This window comes from Homo sapiens, chromosome 9 (genome assembly GCF_000001405.40).
Source record: "Homo sapiens chromosome 9, GRCh38.p14 Primary Assembly".
In the NCBI taxonomy this organism is placed as follows: domain Eukaryota; kingdom Metazoa; phylum Chordata; class Mammalia; order Primates; family Hominidae; genus Homo; species Homo sapiens.
Window position 1 is genome coordinate 28,712,503 of NC_000009.12, and position 18,046 is coordinate 28,730,548.

The 18,046-nt window shown below is 35.4% G+C and overlaps 1 protein-coding gene across 13 annotated transcripts in view; it reads right to left on the reverse strand.

Annotated features, from left to right (window-relative positions):
• The window catches only part of LINGO2 (leucine rich repeat and Ig domain containing 2), a 1,275,985-nt gene that overhangs the window by 774,886 nt on the left and 483,053 nt on the right, over positions 1-18,046 (reverse strand). The window contains exon 1 of one of the 13 annotated variants that reach the window (NM_152570.4): positions 6,599-6,803. The exons of the other annotated variants lie outside the window; for them this stretch is intronic. The gene's annotated coding sequence lies outside the window, so the exon portion shown is untranslated. Of the gene's footprint in view, positions 1-6,598; positions 6,804-18,046 lie in introns of those variants that run through there. 13 annotated transcript variants of the gene reach the window in all.

Below are 18,046 nucleotides of genomic sequence, written 5' to 3' on the forward strand. Positions count from 1 at the left end.
TGAAACTCAGCTCTACCATTTTACAGAAAAATTACTTAAATTATTTGAGGTTCCTTTACCCCATTTGTAAAATGGACATAATAAACAGTACCTACTTTGTATGACTACAATAAGGATTAAATAAACTAGACATATACAGCATGTAGAATAGAGACTGGCATATAATACTAGATGTTACCATTAACTCCAAATTTTTATTCATGATTAACTACAATAAAAGATTCTAGAAGAAAGCAAAATCTAACTATTTCAAATATGTAGCAAACATTTTTGTTGCATGTGTTTTGCTTAAATATGATTAAGAAACATAGAATTTAAAAAGAAAGTGTATTACAACTCAATTCCTAATTTTTTTTAAATTTTCATTTATTCATTTATTTTTTTATGAAGTCTTGCTCTGTCACCCAGGCTGGAGTGCAATGGCCTGATCTCCGCTCACTGCAAACTCCGCCTCCCAGATTCAAGTGATTCTCCTGCCTCAGCCTCCTGAGTAGCTGGGATTACAAGTGCTTGTCACCACGCCCGGCTGATTTTTGTATTTTTAGTAGAAACAGGGTTTCACCATGCTGGTCAGGCTGGTCTTGAACTCCTGACCTCGTGATCAACCCGCCTCGGCCTCCTAAAGTGCTGCGATTACAGGTGTAAGCCACTGTGCCCGGCCTCAATTCCTAATCTTACCGCTTCAATACTTATTTTTTTAGGCTTCAATATATTTTATTTATTTGCTTATGAAAGCCTCAATGATGACATTTCTGTACACATATACAAACGGTCATACAAATATAATAACTAAAACTGATAAATATGAATTTGCCACTATTGACTTTCTCTTGATGGCTTGTATGAGAGAGACTCTAACTAGTCATGAAGCTGACTGTCTCTTCTTCTTGGTCACACAATTTGCCCTCCGTTTCCCAGCTTCTCTTGCAGTTAGTTATGATCATATGACTATGCTAGCCAAAAGAACGTGAGCAAAAATGATAAGCACCTCTTGAAAACTTGGATCATAAAATGCTCCATGCTCTTTCCTTCTGGTTGTCCAATTGGTATTTCTGTGTCTATTTTCTAGCATTTCTAACAGGGCTTTTTGCTGTGTTCTTCTGTGTTTACATGTGTATTTTCCATTAGAAGGTACTGATTTTGGACACAGGATTTGAGTAAGCAGTTTTGTGTGTGGAGGGGTGTGGTCAGGAACAGCAGAGAACATCTCTCTTGGAAGACAGTAAGAAGCAGTGGCTACCACAATAAAGAAAGCTTAACAAAATTCATATCTGGCATTGACTGGGGATCATTAATACATAGAATCCTTGAATAATTCTACTGTCTTACTATGCTGTGACAACTAAAATACAATAAAAATATATCTCCACTGGGGCTGGGCATGGTGGCTCACGCCTGTAATCCCAGCACTTTGGGAGGCCGAGGCAGGTGGATCACCTGAGGTCAGGAGTTTGAGCCCAGCCTGCCCAACATGGCAAAACTCTGTCTCTACTAAAAATAGAAAAATTTAGCCGGGCCTGGTGATGCATGCCTGCAATCCCAGGTACTCGGGAGGCTGAGGCAGGAGAATCGCTTGAACCTGGGAGGTGGAGGTTGCAGTGAGCTGAGATTCTGCCACTGCACTACAGCCTGGGTGACAAGAGTGAAACTATGCCTCAAATAATATATATATATATATATATATATACACACATACACACACACACATACGCACATATACATATATATATATCTCTCTCCACTACAGTCATTAACATCTTCTACATCTCAACATCTCAACACTTCCATGCACTTTATACATTTCATGCCAATGGTAGCAAAAATACCAGCAGGATCCCAATCACCATCAAGGCTCAAAATGCTTGCCAAGCACTTTTCAGATCCAGGTTGAAGCCAGAGATTTTGCACTAAATCTGCCAGTTGCTCTGTAATATGCAGTGTTTTCACAGTGTCTCGTAGATAGCCTGAGAGTCACAATATTCTCATGAGCCCTACTGCAATGCTGATTGTCACGTGTTGAAGATGGCAGAGCCTTTTCAGCCCAGTTCTATGCAATGCTGAATGGAACATAAGCCCTTTACTATTAACGGCAGTCATTTTGGTGTTTTAATGAGCAAGATAAAATCCTTTGTGTCAAGCCATGAATTTTGGGCTCTTCTCTATTACAACAGCTAGCGTTATCTAGATAGTATAATTAATTTTCCATGATGTTAATGGTTTTGATAAGTTTGAGTCACTGGAATAAAAATGTTGATTCACTCTAAAATAAAATAATTGTTTATTATAGTTACTTAAATGTTTCATAATTATTACATATGCATTCTACTTTATGTTATGTTTAGTTATTATGTAGGTAGAAATTCAAATTTCTACCATGAAAGTTCTGTAATGTTACTCATCCAGAAGCAGTTTTTAGATGAACAATGTGATATTTACAAAAGAGTGAATTTAGTGAATTCTAATAATTTTGTTTAGTTTAACTAAACTATGAGTCCATCTGTATCTTTTGTATTTTTATAGGTTACACTTCTTAGAATGTGAGTCGTAGTCAATAATTCTAGCATACTGTAACCTGACTAAACAAAAAATTTAGGAAGATCACCAGACTCCAACCCAAGACTGCAGAAACATTTGGACTGGTGATGGATTTTTCCAATTACTGCTTTCAGTGTTCACTGTCTATGAACATATTGAAGCCATTTAGGATATATTATTCTAGTAAATGAGCAGACTGTTCACACACATTAAATTCCTGTTTCTGTGTAGACTGTAAAATGCAATACCTTTATCTATTTCATGCTGGAATTAAAAATCCATATCACAGATTCTTAGAAAATAAACCATTATTCCTTCCTGAAAAATGTAAATGAGAATGAGCATGTATATTATCACAAAAGTGCTGAAATATATCCACTGTTTTTCTGGGTAATGTATCTAAGATTAATTTATTCTGCAATGTACACTTATAATGTACAGTCCCCTAACATTAGATAACGGAATTAGAGAAGTGGAAGGGTCCAGTGGAAGGATGAATAAGTTATTTGTATGTGAGCTGAGAGGTCAGGAAGAAGAGGTGGGTGGGGTTGCTAAAGCAAATAAATAGGTTTAGTAAAACCAGAAGGTCATCGTTCTGGTTTCCTCATTGCATACATTTTAACTGTATTATAAGAAGCTATGCCACTGTTAATTTAAAATATCTACTATGATTATTAACACTTACCTTACATAGACAAGCCACTTTTCTGAAAAGGAATCTTTCAGAAGATTTGTTTGGCAGGAGTTGAAGAATAACTTAGAAGAAAGAAAGAAAAGAACTAAAGGTACCTGTGGCTTTAATCTACACAAATGATGCCTGCCTATATTGGACTTGTGTCAGTGGAAGAAAATTAGGTAAATCCAGAGGGCTTTTCCAATACATTATTAAATGTGTGGGCCAAGTTGAATTTGAATTTGGTAGTTGGGGGTCTAGAAACAAAAATAATAGTGACAATAAAATGTGTTGTGATACCTTTATACAGGCATCGTACAAGATAAATTACATGCAATACTCCTGTCCACATTATGAGTCTGGGAGCTCGAAATAATACTTCCATCTCAAATGGATATACCATTCTCCTGTTTCTGTACACTTAAAATGCCTTCAAAACTTTTTCAGCATTAAAAAAAAAAACAACATAAACAATAAAATCTTCTCAGCAATGCGATGGCTCCTTCCACATGTAAGATTAAAATTAGAACCACTTTCCAAGTTATTTTCTTTTTTTAATTTTTTACAAAGAGAAAAATTAGAAAAACAGAGGTAGGGATTTTAAGCAGAAAGAGGGATGGAGTATGTGAAAGAAAGAATGGCATTAAGGAAACCTAGATAGGAAAGGGTCCAAAATATTCAGACTAAGTAAATCTTATGACAAGGGGACAGGGAAAGTAATGTTATAAGAGGTCTACCCTGACACAATGACATAATTCAGGTGTATATTTGGTTGCATGAGCCCTAAGACCTGCGTTAAAAAGAAGCCAGTATAGGATCACGTATTTGTCACAAATATAGTTTCCTTTAAAGCAAGAGCAAAGAAAAACAGATTGTGCAGTGTATTCTGTACACCTTGATTTAGTTCTAAATATTCTGTTCTTTGAGGCCAGAAATTGTGTTCCATTTATCTTTGCCAAATACAGTCATTTTTCTGGTAGATAAGACAGAAAGATAGATAGGTAGCTAGACAATTCATTTAATAATCATTTTCAAGATGATATAGCAACCCAAAATTTTTAAATCTCTAAGTGTTTGCTATCAAACTATATTAAAGTAATGGTACAGATATATGCTATTAAACTTAGTGTATAATTTTAAGCCAGCTATCATAAATTAACCATTTCCATTTACCTAGAGACTATGTCTGGAAATTCCTGATGAGTTTTAAAATATACGGTTTCTATCAATGGGGTATCATAGTGCAAATATACATTTTAGTATAAAATCTGCTATACAATTATAGACAATAATATTGAAAATTTAATATAAGCTGTAAAAACAACCAAAGGGTAACTATGAGACAGCAATTTTTTTTTCCTGATTTGTTAATATATGACCCCCAAGTAGGTGAAGGCTCTGTCAAGTTCACAGAGGTATCCAAGAAATTACATTCTAGGCAGAGGCTCTCAGAAAACTGCAGACTAATGGCTGCTTTAACCCTATTGTCCAGTGTCAAAGGAGTCATTCATATTGGAGGAGTGTGCCCATCAGCTGCTTAAAGAGGCCATGGCACTTAACTGAGCTCAAACTAGGGGAAAGTTACAAGATTTATTTCCCATGGCCACAACTTGATTAAAGAGACCCTAATCTAAAAAAAAAAAAAAAAAGATGAAGGGGGGATTTTTAAAAAATAAATGTTATTAAGGTCTAGGGACAGGCTTACAATCAATAGCTGAAATTTGGTAGGGGTGAGGTAAGTGGAGATAGGGATGGAAAATTACAATAAACATGAGATTTTGGAAAGCAATCAACAGTAAACAATAAAGACTAAAACTCTAAGGAGATTTCCCTCTCTTTTCTCTCCCACACACTCAAGAGCAAATGTACACAGAGTCATAATTTCTTCTCTCTAAACAATGCCAATGAATTCATAGACACATATAGAAACTAATGGTAGACAGAGTGTTTTTCCCCACTCAAAATTATAAAGTAGGCAAATATTTTCAACATTCATCCCTCCTGTCTCTTCTTACTAGTCCAGTTACCCAGTCCTCAGTGTTTTTATATGACTCCTCGCTTCTCAGATCTAGTGGGAAATTTTTCAGGTGCTGGACCACTCGTTCCCAACTACTGTCACACAAACCTACACCTCAGTAACTCTCAGACCTTACTATGATAGTCAATATATCCTATTACCTAATTCAGAATGAGGGGATAATGACAACTTAAATTCACAGAGCATTTACTGAATATCCAGATTTGAAAGACAAGAAGCCAGCGATACAGTTAATGAAATAAGGCAGTGTCCCCAAGCAACATAGATTCCTTATAAATCAACAGAATACAGGAAGAATATAGGCAATGTTATAACAGAGATGGCAGGGACAGAAAAAATTTAAAAGATTAATTTCAACAAAGAACATTAAGAAAAGCTTCATGGGGGAGATGAAAGTTAAGAAGATGCTTATATGGCTTAAGTATAAAGGAAAAAAAAAAACAAACCATGTGAGACTTTAGGTTTAATACCAGTTAAGATGATAAATAGCCTGAATAATATGCCCAGTATTTTCTCAGTTTGTGAACAGAGTTCAGATACTTGATGGGCCAGCTCAAAGCTGGATACCTCACTGCCCTAGGACAATGGAAGAAATAGCTTGAGTCTCCTGGCAGCCCTCTAATCATGAAATATATGTATAATACATAAACTACACAACCTCTTGCTTTTATCTTTCTCTTCAACCAAACATTGCTATCATACCAGACAATTTCGAAATTATACCCTTGGGCCTATCATGGCCTGATTACTTACTTCATAATTGCTTGATTTCTTTCCTTCTCCCCTTCATCACAACATAGCTTTATCTCTCTGAAATCCCTGCTCTGACTAAAACCTCTTAAAATTCTCTCATCCAGTATTTTCCACTAAAGAGTCTTACTTTTCTCAGAAACTCCATTTGTTCCTAGGCTAAAAGCCTACCAATTTTTTATTTCTTTTAAAATCTCAACTACTCGGCTATCTTGGTGACACTTACTGGCATACTTAACTCATTTTTCCTTTATTCTTTGCTCTAGCTTTGCTGACAATGTGTGAACAAATGAGCCCAAACACTTGGTTTTTTCTGTACTTCCCCTCCTGAACTTTCTGGTCATCCTGAAAAAATTAAATAGTAGTCTGTTAATTTGTATTATAAATCTATGATCTGCCCCCTTCTTCTAGGTCTGTAACACTGTTCAGTATCCATTTACTTTCTCTGAAACAGCTGTTACAAGCCATCATCACTCTTCTCAGTGCTTCTACTCAGACTCTGCAACTCCCACCTTTAGCAAACCTGCCTTCTTCACAGCAAACAACTTGAAACCATCGGATGGAAACTCCCAAACTCTCATCCTTCCCACTTTTCAACTTACCTGCATTTGTATCTATTGTTAATTATCCTCCTACTGTCATGAAGGAGTAGAGTCTCCGAGCATTTCAAGGTTAATGTCACTCCTGTTCCTCTCATTTGAGAGCACACTCCTTGATTCTACCCGTTTGTGTCTTTAAGCTCCTCTCTCTTAGCTCTTTCTCTTCCACAACGAACATGTTGAACACTCCCTACATCTTCTCTAAATTAACCTCCTTCCCTGAAGGAACTAATTGTTTTATCTTTCCTGTGCTGACTGCTTTGAACATTTGTTACCAGCAGAAACCACTTTCTTCCCATTCACTCCTCACACTAATTCACATTGTCTCCCTGTAATCTATTGCAGCACTGCAGCAGCTCCTCCCAAACTCATCAGTGTACAAAAAGTCTGGTGGGCATCATCAATCCTCATCCTATTTGACTTCTATAAGGCATTTGGCCAGTCCCTCTTTGTTCAGACACTCCTAACCTACTTCTCATTTGACCCTATCTTACTGACTTTGTTTTCCTTCTCTTTTTATGTTTTCCCCCTTTTTATGCTTTCCTCTTATTGAAAATTCATTCTTCTTCTCATTATACACTTCCTGAAAAATCTGCTCTGCTCTGAAATCTGCATGTAAAATCCAATTTCTACATCTAATAAAGATTACTCCTCTAAGATGCAGGTCCATAGCTTTTATTGCTTATTAAATATTAGAAATCAGCATTTTAAACTCAACTTGTTATAAAATGAACTGCCATTTCCTCTCATTTATCTCTTTCTCCAGTCCAACTAACTTGCTTAATTATGTAAATTGCATGAACTCAAATTAATTTTTAAATTTTTCTACTTCCTTTTCTTTCCAAACCTCATCAGTAACAAATCTTAGTGTTTCAACATCATCAGAACATATAATATCTTCTCTGAACTACCGAAGCATCTAATTTGAGTTGGTTTTTCCCATTCCAAATCATCTTTCACATTGTAGCTGAAGTTATTTTCTTCAAAAATACAAATTGCATTGTGTCATCCCCCTACTAAAGTACTACTAATGCCAAACCAATCACTGCACAATTAAGTCCACACTTAATTTGACATATATAAAGTCTTGTTTCATGTATCCAAGCACTTCATTTTTTTATATAGTCCTTTTCAAGCTTTGCCATAGATTCACTCTACGTTTTAGCCACAAAAATGTCTAATGTTCTGGTACATGCAGACATTCAGAGATGTTTCTGAACTGTTTGTGCATAATTTGCTTAGTTTGCTCTTCTCTTCCTTTCAAGGTTCATGCCAAAGGCCCTTTCTGTAAAGCTTTTCTAACCTCCTTTGCACAACACTGTATTACAATCATCTGTTTACTGGACTGTGCCACCAATCTGAATTCCTTGATTAAAATTCATATTTAGATATCTCTACCATGTCTCTTTCCCCCAGTTCTCCCACACGGAATTCATATGTGTAAAAAATTTCTGTCACTGATGAGGAGATGTTTTTTAACACTAAATATATTCAGTGCCATAGTTAGAATTCAAGGGAAAAAAGGAAGTAAGAATATTATTTGACCTAATTGATGCTAAATATATTCCACAGCAACCTAACTCTTAAAGAATAAATTGATATATATTTGTATCATTCCAAATATATTGGCTTCAATGTTAGAAGATTGGAGGAAGAGGAATATGTGTGGTCCCTTCAATATAACGCAGTGTACCTTGTCTTGTATTGCTTTTCATGCAAAATAAAATAATAAGCACAGGTTTTTGCAATATAATCTGTCTTCATTTTATGAAGAATGTGGCTTAGAGGTATTCAGAGTGACACATCACTCTAAATAGTGAATCACTGGAGTGTTGTCTCTCAGGAGGAGGGCTGTCCATTGTCCTCAACTCACATCTGAATGCTCACAAGATAGACTATTTCCTGTTAAGATGGATGAAGAGACACTTATCAAAAGAAGACATTTATGTGGCCAACAAACATATATAAAAAAAGCTCATCATCACTGGATATTAGAGAAATGCAAATCAAAACCACAATGAGATATCTTCTCATGCCAGTTAGAATGGCGATCATTAACTCAATAGATGCTGGTGAGGCTGTGGAGAAAAGCAATGCTTTTACACTGTTGGTAGGAGTGTAAATTAGTTCAGCCATTGTGGAAGACAGTGTGGCAATTCCTCAAGGATCTAGAACCAGAAATATCATTTGACCCAGCAATCCCATTACTGGGTATATACCCAAAGGATTATAAATTGTACTGTTATAAAGACACATGCACACATATGTTTATTGCAGCACTATCAACAATAGCAAAGACTTGGAACCAACCCAAATGCCCATCAATGATAGACTGGATAAAGAAAATGTGGCACATATACACCATGGAATACTATGCAGCCATAAAAAAGGATGAGTTCATGTCCTTTGCAGGAACATGGATGAAGCTGGAAACCATCATTCTCAGAAAACTAACACAGGAACAGAAAACCAAACACTGCATGTTCTCACTCATAAGTGGAAGTTGAACAATGAGAACACATGGAAACAGGGAGGAGAACATCACACACTGGGGTCTGTTGGGGGATGGGGAGAATGGAGAGGGAGTGAATTAGGACAAATACCCAATGCATGTGGGGCTTAAAACCTAGACAACCAGTTGATAGGTGCAGTACCATGGGACATGTATACCTATGTAACAAACCTGCACGTTCAGCACATGTATCCTAGAACTTAAAGTAAAATAAAAAAAAAAAATTAAAAACATGGAGATACAATTTTTTTCACCAAAGTCTAGCTTTGGGCTCTTGTTAAAATAGCCAAAATTTGTTCATTACCTATGGAACATTTCAATATACATAACTAATGCCTTTCAAAGAACATTGTATTATATACGTATGAAAAATGGGAAAATCTTCATGAGGGGAAATAATAAAAACCAAACAGCCCAAACATGTTAAATTTTACATTCTGATATGTTAATAAATGAAATTCTGCATAATAGGAGGGTACCAATAAATACAAGATACATTTTCTGCCTTAATTGAGATTATGATCTATTTCAAGAAATGACATAAACATGTAAAAAGTAAAATAAAACTTGAAAATTGCCTAAAGGAAATATTGCAAGTTGTTCCACTATTTATAGTCAAACAAAGTGTACAAGAAATAATTGCTACAGATACTCATGGAAGAAAAAGTATCCCTTCCTTTGGGATACTGAAAACAGGTTTTTTGGGCTATACATTTTGAAATCTTTTGTTTGACCTGAGAAGGACTTTCAACTATATATTTCTGGGACTAAATCTGTATAATTATGGAAAAGTTCATTTTATACTGTTTCCTAACAAACGTCAAAGTTGTATTGCTCTTCTCATAACCATACCCAATGTGAATTTGAAGAGCAAAGCAGTCTAAAAAGTTCAGTCAGTGGCATTTCTTTTTACTAAGTGACTTAAGATAGTCCTGGAGAGGAAGGAAAGGCCTATCTGACAGTGTCATTACTGAAGGAATAAATGACATATCAGGCACATCAAAGTTGAATCATGGAATTAAAACAGATTCTGAAACAGGAATGCTAAAAATGGAATATTTATTTCTCTGTCTTTTGAAGGTCACTGATATCAACCCTCAGGAGGGCACTGGGAATATGCGACAACCTTTGCTGTTGGATGCTATCTTCTCCTCTAGCCAAAAAATAATCCCAGTAGTACGGGGCCCAATAGGACTTTGCTGTTTGCCAGCCTTGTGATAAGTCGTTCAACCTATTCTCTGCTATAGAGTCAAAGGCAATTCTGAAATGGCTTTGGGTTGAAACAAACAGCAGTGAGCTCTGATATCCACTGGCTGCTTATCACATGATGCTGCCTGTGGTTCACCATAGCTGAGTATCTGCTGAGGAGCTTTTAGGGCTGGCTGGACCCCACCTGAAACAATTACCCCAGAGTCTCTGGTGGCAAACTTGAGCATGATTCTTTTTGAAAGCTATCCAGGTGGTTTATGTACACACAGGTTTATTAAACATTGTATCAGATCAAGATCAATGCTTTTCAAACTTTAATGTGCATACCAATGACCCAGAGAGCTTGTTAACATGAAGATTCTGACTCAGTAAATGTTAGGTAGGACCTGAGATCCATCACTTCTAATATGCTCTCAGGTGACGTTGCTGTTGCTGGTATAAGTGCTGCATACTGAATTGTAATTCTTTATAGCATTATTTGGCACAGCTATTTTCAATATTCTATATATTAAGCTCCACCTTTAAGAGATTCTGATTCTATGAATTGTCTTCTAAAAAATCTATTAATTAAAATTATCAGATGATACCAGCTTTGTTGTACAATGTGGCTATACATATTAGAAACTACTGCTTCAAGATATCCCAGGAAAATTCTATATTCCTTGAAAGGCCCAACCTATCCCTTAGTGGGGTACCTTCTCTTGGTAAATGACATGCTCTTTGTTATGGATTACAAAAGAGTGACAGAAGCTGGGCCAATATAAGAATGGAATTGGTGAACTCGTCAGTGCTAGTTTCTCCTACAGTATTCTAGACATCACTCCTATTATCAAAGTAGCCCTGTTGGTTCAGTGGATTAGATAGAAAGTGCAGTCCTCTTTCCTCACAGAACACCTCTATACCTCATATCCTAGAGATCAGCCACTCTTAAGATGTTTGCATTTTTTCATAGGAAACATAAAGTATGGAAATAGGTATGTTGCAATTGGTCATAAAAAGAAAAGAATCCTCCTAAAAAAACTGACTTTGGGGCTACATTGTTCTTGAAGAGGTTATTAAATAAGACAAAAGAATTAGCTTAAAAGAAAGTTTCAGATGCAAAAAGAAAAAAAAATTAACAAGATGAGCTATTCTTTTTTTTCCCAGTGACAATGCATATACTCTATTTGCTTCTTCTGTGTTTATTATGGGCATATATGTAAATATGTACACAATAATACAAACATACCATATAAAGAAGATAAATTAAGGCTAACTTCACCCCTTTAAGTAAGCACTGACCTCAGAGTCAGAGATTAGATCTAGTTCTAGCTCAGTGACACTGGGCCTCAACTTTCCATTTGTAAAATGAAGGAGTTAGACTGCATAATAATATAAACCACTGTTTCTTGAGTTCTTATTATGGGCCAACCATTGAGTAACATGTTTGGCAAATAATTAGTCCTGTTTACACCCCCATGAGACACACTATGTTGTACCTGCTTTTGCGGATAAGGAAGGGGAAGACTCAGATGAATTACTTTTATTGCCCAAGGGAAATATTGATCAATTAGATTTAGTTCCTGTCCCAGAGAAGCTCTCCATAGGTCACTCATTCAGCAACCTGCATTAAAAAGTTGCATTTACCCAACTTGAAGTTATAATTGCAAGACAAACCTCTGAACTGTACAGCTAATGCACTTGCCATAGACCTCTCATTCCCTTGGGGTAAACCAAGACTGACCTTCTGGATGGAGCTTTCAGATAACTCCATCACGGATGATAACCTACCTAAATAGGAAAGGGAACATGAAAGAGATAGGAGCTAGTCAACTCAGAATAACTGTATCCACCTCAGATCAATATCAGCAAACAGCTGATGTGGGTTGGGAAAATTAAGGATGAAAGATGTTTGGGAGGGAAAAGCCCACAAAGAGAAAGTATGCATGTTGTTGTGCCTTCCTCTAACCCAAATTTTTAAAAGAGCAATTGGTTCATAAGTTTGGGGGTCATCCAAATCCAGAAATATAACCTTTGAAGAGTCACAAATCTTTCAGAGCTCAAATACTACAAGAAAGAAACATTAGATCAATGTAAGAATTCAAAGGTTTTGTAGATAAATAGAAATGGGTTCCAAAGACAATTCACCTTACAGTATTTTGGTCAAAAAACAGCTTGAATGCACCTATCATCATTTGAAGATAAACAGAAAAAAAGAAGACAAAAATCTGAAATAAAAATACAAGAAGAAAATAAATCTACACCTGAAAAAAAATTCAGAGCGTATTTTTTAATGATGATCTATTCCATGAGGCAAACTTTTTATACAGCAACTATTTTACTTGCTCAAGGAAATAAAGGCCAATATGAACTCAATCAAAAAAATTTATCACACGTATTACCTATATGTATGCGTATTTTTCTATTTCAAACAGATACAGAAAGATAAATAGAGATAAAAAGGGCTTATTAGAGTTAATAAGAAAACAAGCAATCCTAATTTAAATATTAGAAATAAAATATGTAATTAATATTGAAAAAAAATCAGTGGACATTGAGTAAACTATGCTGAAAACCAGGGAGGAATGCAAAATGATTAAACACAGATAGGATTGAAGGTATTCAACACAATATAAAGGCAATGAATGAACAACGTATCACCGTTCTTATTCACGAATAAAAGAGAACTATCAATATACAACAGGGGGAATAATCCTCAAAGATGATAGGTTATCTCAAAGATAAACAAAATCTCAATCCATGGAATAAAAAGAAAAAAAAAAAAAGAAAATGGCCTGTGACAACATCAAGACATGAAAATAATAACCACTGGTTTGCAAAGATAAGGAAAAGAAACAAAAGAAGATATAAAGGAACAGCAAATATGTCTGTTAAAACAATAAATGTAAATAAAGTCACCTATGAAAAGAAAAAAGCTCTTTAGTTTCAAACAAATAACAAAATTAAAAACACACATTAAAATAAAGGAAACTTAAAAATTAACATTGAAAAAAATCCTAAATTAATGCTAAAGAAATACAAAATGTGCGTGTATGTGTGTGTGCATGTATATGAGCTATTTCATTGATGTCAAAACCAAGGTTATAAGCACTGAAAGGGTTAAAGAGTTGGATTTTTGTTTGTTGTTTTGGAAAGGTTAAATCCAATGTAATATATCAAATAATAAAACATGTGCCAAAATATTTATATACAAGAATACACAACTTTATTTCATTCTAGTTTCATATGTTACATGTGACACTAGCATTTTCTAAGCTAAATATTGACTATATTAGACAATAAGCAATCATTTTGAGCCCTCATAATGTGGTACTGCTTATCAGTCAAATGGTGTGTTATAACAGTGTTCCTTTTTCATTTATTTGCTTTTTAAGAGCTCTATGTGTGAGTCAATTTGAATATCTCATTATTTCGTCCTTATTTCTTTATGAACATGAGTGGAAAATGGGAACATGAAAGTGTTAATGTTAGTGTTAATATAATCAAGAGGAAGATCACCTGCTGAAGTGGGGCTACAAGGAAAATAATAAGTTGCAACAAGTAGACAGAGTGTAATTCACATTTTCTGACCACAATGGGATAAATCTAAATTTAATAATGAAACCTCAGCAGAGAGCTCCTTGGATTTAAGCAGGTAAACTGTGTATATAAATATGAAGAAAAAAATAAAATTAAATAACATTTATTAACTAATGGCAACAGACTACTGAATATTGCCTGTAAATGGCAAGGTGTAGTATAGATAATCTGGAACAATCTTTAAATTTGCAGATTGAAACCTTAGGTGATTTTTATAAAAAACAGCACTAACAGGTCTATAGCAAATAAGCAGACAGCTTGCTACAAAGAACAATATAAAAAAATAAGTAAGGCTGGTATTCTAGCCTTTCTTGAACATATTTCAAAAGAGTCAAAAGACAATAGATGTAGTGTAATTTACATTTTCTGACCATGATGATATACATCTAAATTTGTTAAATGTTGGAACAATAGGAAAGTCATATATTTGTTATATTCCATTTGGTACCTCTCCACCTACTACCCACGCTGATGTATACCCTTTTCTCCAACTTACTTTGACCACCATTGGATCTGGGCTCCCCTATTTTCGGTTTTCTGGGTGGCTTTTAGCCACTAAATATATTGATGGGAGATTGAGGAGGAGAGGAGAGTGAGCATTTTGACATCCCAGTTTCTTCCAGAGTTGAACCATTTGGTTGGAACTCTGTTTCCTGCTAGACCCCTGACTAATGCATGCAAATATAAGAATGTTTTTAAATCACACACACACTAACATAGATATAAAATACACTTAATTCTAAAACTATAAACTGTTAAAATATATTAAAATTAGACTCTTAACCTTAGTTTTGACAGAGGCCCCAAACTATTCCAAAGAATAGGCAGCTGGGAATAGCGTTAAAGTACCTGTCTATGGGGAACTTGTGAAGAGTTAGCTTAAAAATCCTTCTTTTTTTTTTTTCTGAAACAGAATCTCACTCTGTCTCCCAGGCTGGAATGCAGTGGTGCGATCTCAGCTCACTGCAAGCTCCGCCTCCCAGGTTCAAGCCATTCTCCTGCCTCAGCCTCCCGAGTAGCTGGGACTATGGGTGCCCGCCACCACGTCTGGCTAATTTTTTTGTATTTTTTTAGTAAAGACGGGGTTTCAACGTGTTAGCCAGGATGGTCTCAATCTCCTGATCTCATGATCTGCCTGCTTCAGCCTCTCAAAGTGCTGGGATTACAGGCGTGAGCCACCACGCCCGGCCAAATTAGCTAAAAAATACTTTTGTCACCACTGGTCTTTCATCCGTCTTTAGATAGATAAAACAGTCAACTGGGTACTGACTCTGGCTGTGGAATCTAAAGGGTCACAAAGAAAGGTGGGATGAAATGTTTTGAAACATAGAGTGGGAAGGCTGTAGTTTGGAAGAAATCTGCTCCTTCACTAATTAAACATTAGAAGCATGGGTTTCCCGTGGACCAGATGTGGACCAAGAGAGAAGGAGAAACATAGATAGAGAGAGATTGGTTTGGCAGGGTGAGGTGGTAGGTGCAGAGTAAGAGGCAGACAGATACAGAGGCAGAGATAAAGAATGCTGTCTTGAAGTTCTCTCAACGAGATTATGCTCAATAGGGTACCATAGAAGGGCCATGGGATCTCAACAGAGAGGATCAGTAAAGAGGTAAACTACTAAGAACCAAGGAAACTGCTGAGGTACTACTAAGATGGAAATTAAAAGTGGTCAGAAGGACAGCATCTCACTTATAACAGAGAACTGGGATTGAGGTCCAGTTTTAAAGAAGTGTAGTTCAGGAAACCTTTTCTCTACCTTACCTCTACTCTCACTTTTTGCAACCTATTTCACCTGGGAAAGAAACTGCCTCTGGCACAGGAAAGAAGGAAGAAGAAAACCACAACCCCCTCCCCTTCACTGTGCCCTAGAGAAAGACAGAAGATGATATGGAAATACAAACTGGTAAATTATTTTTAAAAGGTAAATAAATCCAAAATTTAAATTTTTAGAAGAGCAATCAAAAGTTAAATTATTATTCACAAAAAAATCAAGAAAATGAGAAAATTGCAAATGAAAAAAAAGAAAAGGAAAGGAATAAAACCACAGATAAGAAGTAAATGAATAAATCATATAAAAAGAATGTTCTCTAGAGAAATGTAAGCTATCAAAATTGAGGTAAGGAGATGCAAAAAAATAAAAGCATATCCATAAAATAAACTGTAAAAGTTGTCAAAAATTATTTCGGACTGAACTGTCAGCTCTGCCTCTTACTTATAATGGACGGAAAAAAACATACTGCTAATATCGCTCTCCCCTAAACCCACCACCCAGAAACATCACTGAATGACATTAAAGATATTTTTAAAAATATAAACCTCATAAGGAATGGGGCAAAAAGAGAGCAAACAAAGGGAAAATGTTGGGAACTCAAAGAAGAATTGTTGAATGGTAAATATCCTTACAGAAAAATATTCAAATATATAATATAAATCATTCCAAAGACTCAGCAATCAACAGTGCCAAGAACGTCTGGACCTGGACGCTGAGAAACCTAAGAAGGTGCTATAACCCAGGGAGGATGGCGTGAGAAGAAGGCAGATCTCTCAACATCTTCCAACTCCAACACATTAGAAAAATATACTTCCTTCCAAAATAAGTTATTCTTTAAAGTTTGTTCTCTGGAGATGTTCTCTAGACTGGGGGACTGGCAGGAATAGTGTGGAATATTGAGAGAGGAATTAAGTATCTCTTTGAATATTCAGAGTTGAATCTTGATCTCTCTTGCCCTCTTCTGACACCTGCCATCCTGAAACATGGCAAGCAGACTAGTATCATGCTGGATATTGAAATAAACTTCTTAAAGAATTATCAGCAGCCCAAGAAGAAAGACCAGAAAAAAATGATTTTATAGCTCTTCCAACTAACAAATAATTCATTCAACAGTGCAGCTCAAAGTTAACAAGGTTTATACATGTACTCAGAACCTAAGTTTTTGTAAGTTAATCATGAACATAAAATTAAGATATTCCATACATCTGAGAAAATTTTCTTACATGAAAGATAGAAACCAGAACAGAAACAGAGGAAAAAAATCTCAGGGGAACTAAAACTTAAAAAGAGGGAGAGGAAGTTTTCACAACAAACAAACAAACAAAATACATCATTAAATATTGGCAGAGATAAGATCCATGAATCATTCATCAAATGTCAAGAAACATTCCAAGAACAAGTAACAAAAAGTGCTCTTTGTATGTTAAAAATCACAATATCCTAAATGAAAACTTAAAAAAAACAGAGTCTCAAAGATAAAGCTGAAGAAATCCCTGAAAAAGCAGGAGAAAAGAAGATAAACAGAAGGAAATCAGGAGGAAAAAAAATATTAAAATCCTACTCTCCATTATACTCAATATTCCTAAAGAAATTCCAAAAAGAAAGAATAAATAGAATAAAAGAGTTCACACAATTCAAAAAAATCAATTATATTAATTGCCAAATTCAAAGAGATGACTAGGGGTCCAAAAAGCATGAAAATAAACTCTCACAAAAGTATACTTTTGTGAAATTTTAGAGCATTTATATAGAATAATATTCCATAAATATCCATAATGAAGGGAAACAGGGTCACATACAAAAATCAGAAATCAAAATGGAATTGGATTTCTCAATAGCAACAGTAGATGTAGAGATACAAAATCTAAAATAAAAATAATTTTAACTTGGATTTCTAACAATTAAATGTGAAGATAAGAAAAAAAGAGATTTTCAGACATATTCTCAAAAATGTATCTGCCATCTACTCTTTCACAGGAAACATATTAGTATAAATCAAGAAACAGGGCAATAAAGGGAATAGCCAGTGATCCAGCATAAGTGAGATAAGAAAATCCCAAGGATGACTAGGAAAAGAGAGACTAGGATAAGAGGCGTGTACAGACACAAAACAGCAAGCAATCCAGATGCAGGAATGTGATCATGAGACTTATCTGTTTAGGGCTGTCATTGATAAAATCCTCACTGCTCTCTGGGACGAGAGTTGGGCAAAGAGTTAGGCTTAACATCAAAAGGATGATCTACAATGGAAAAAACAAATAAATCTGTCCTGATCAAAATTTAAAACTGTTAACTAAATGTTTGTGGAATGTTTGTTCAGCAAAAGTCCATCTAAAAGGATGAGAAGCAAAGCTACAGAATGGGAGAAATGTTTGCAAAGCA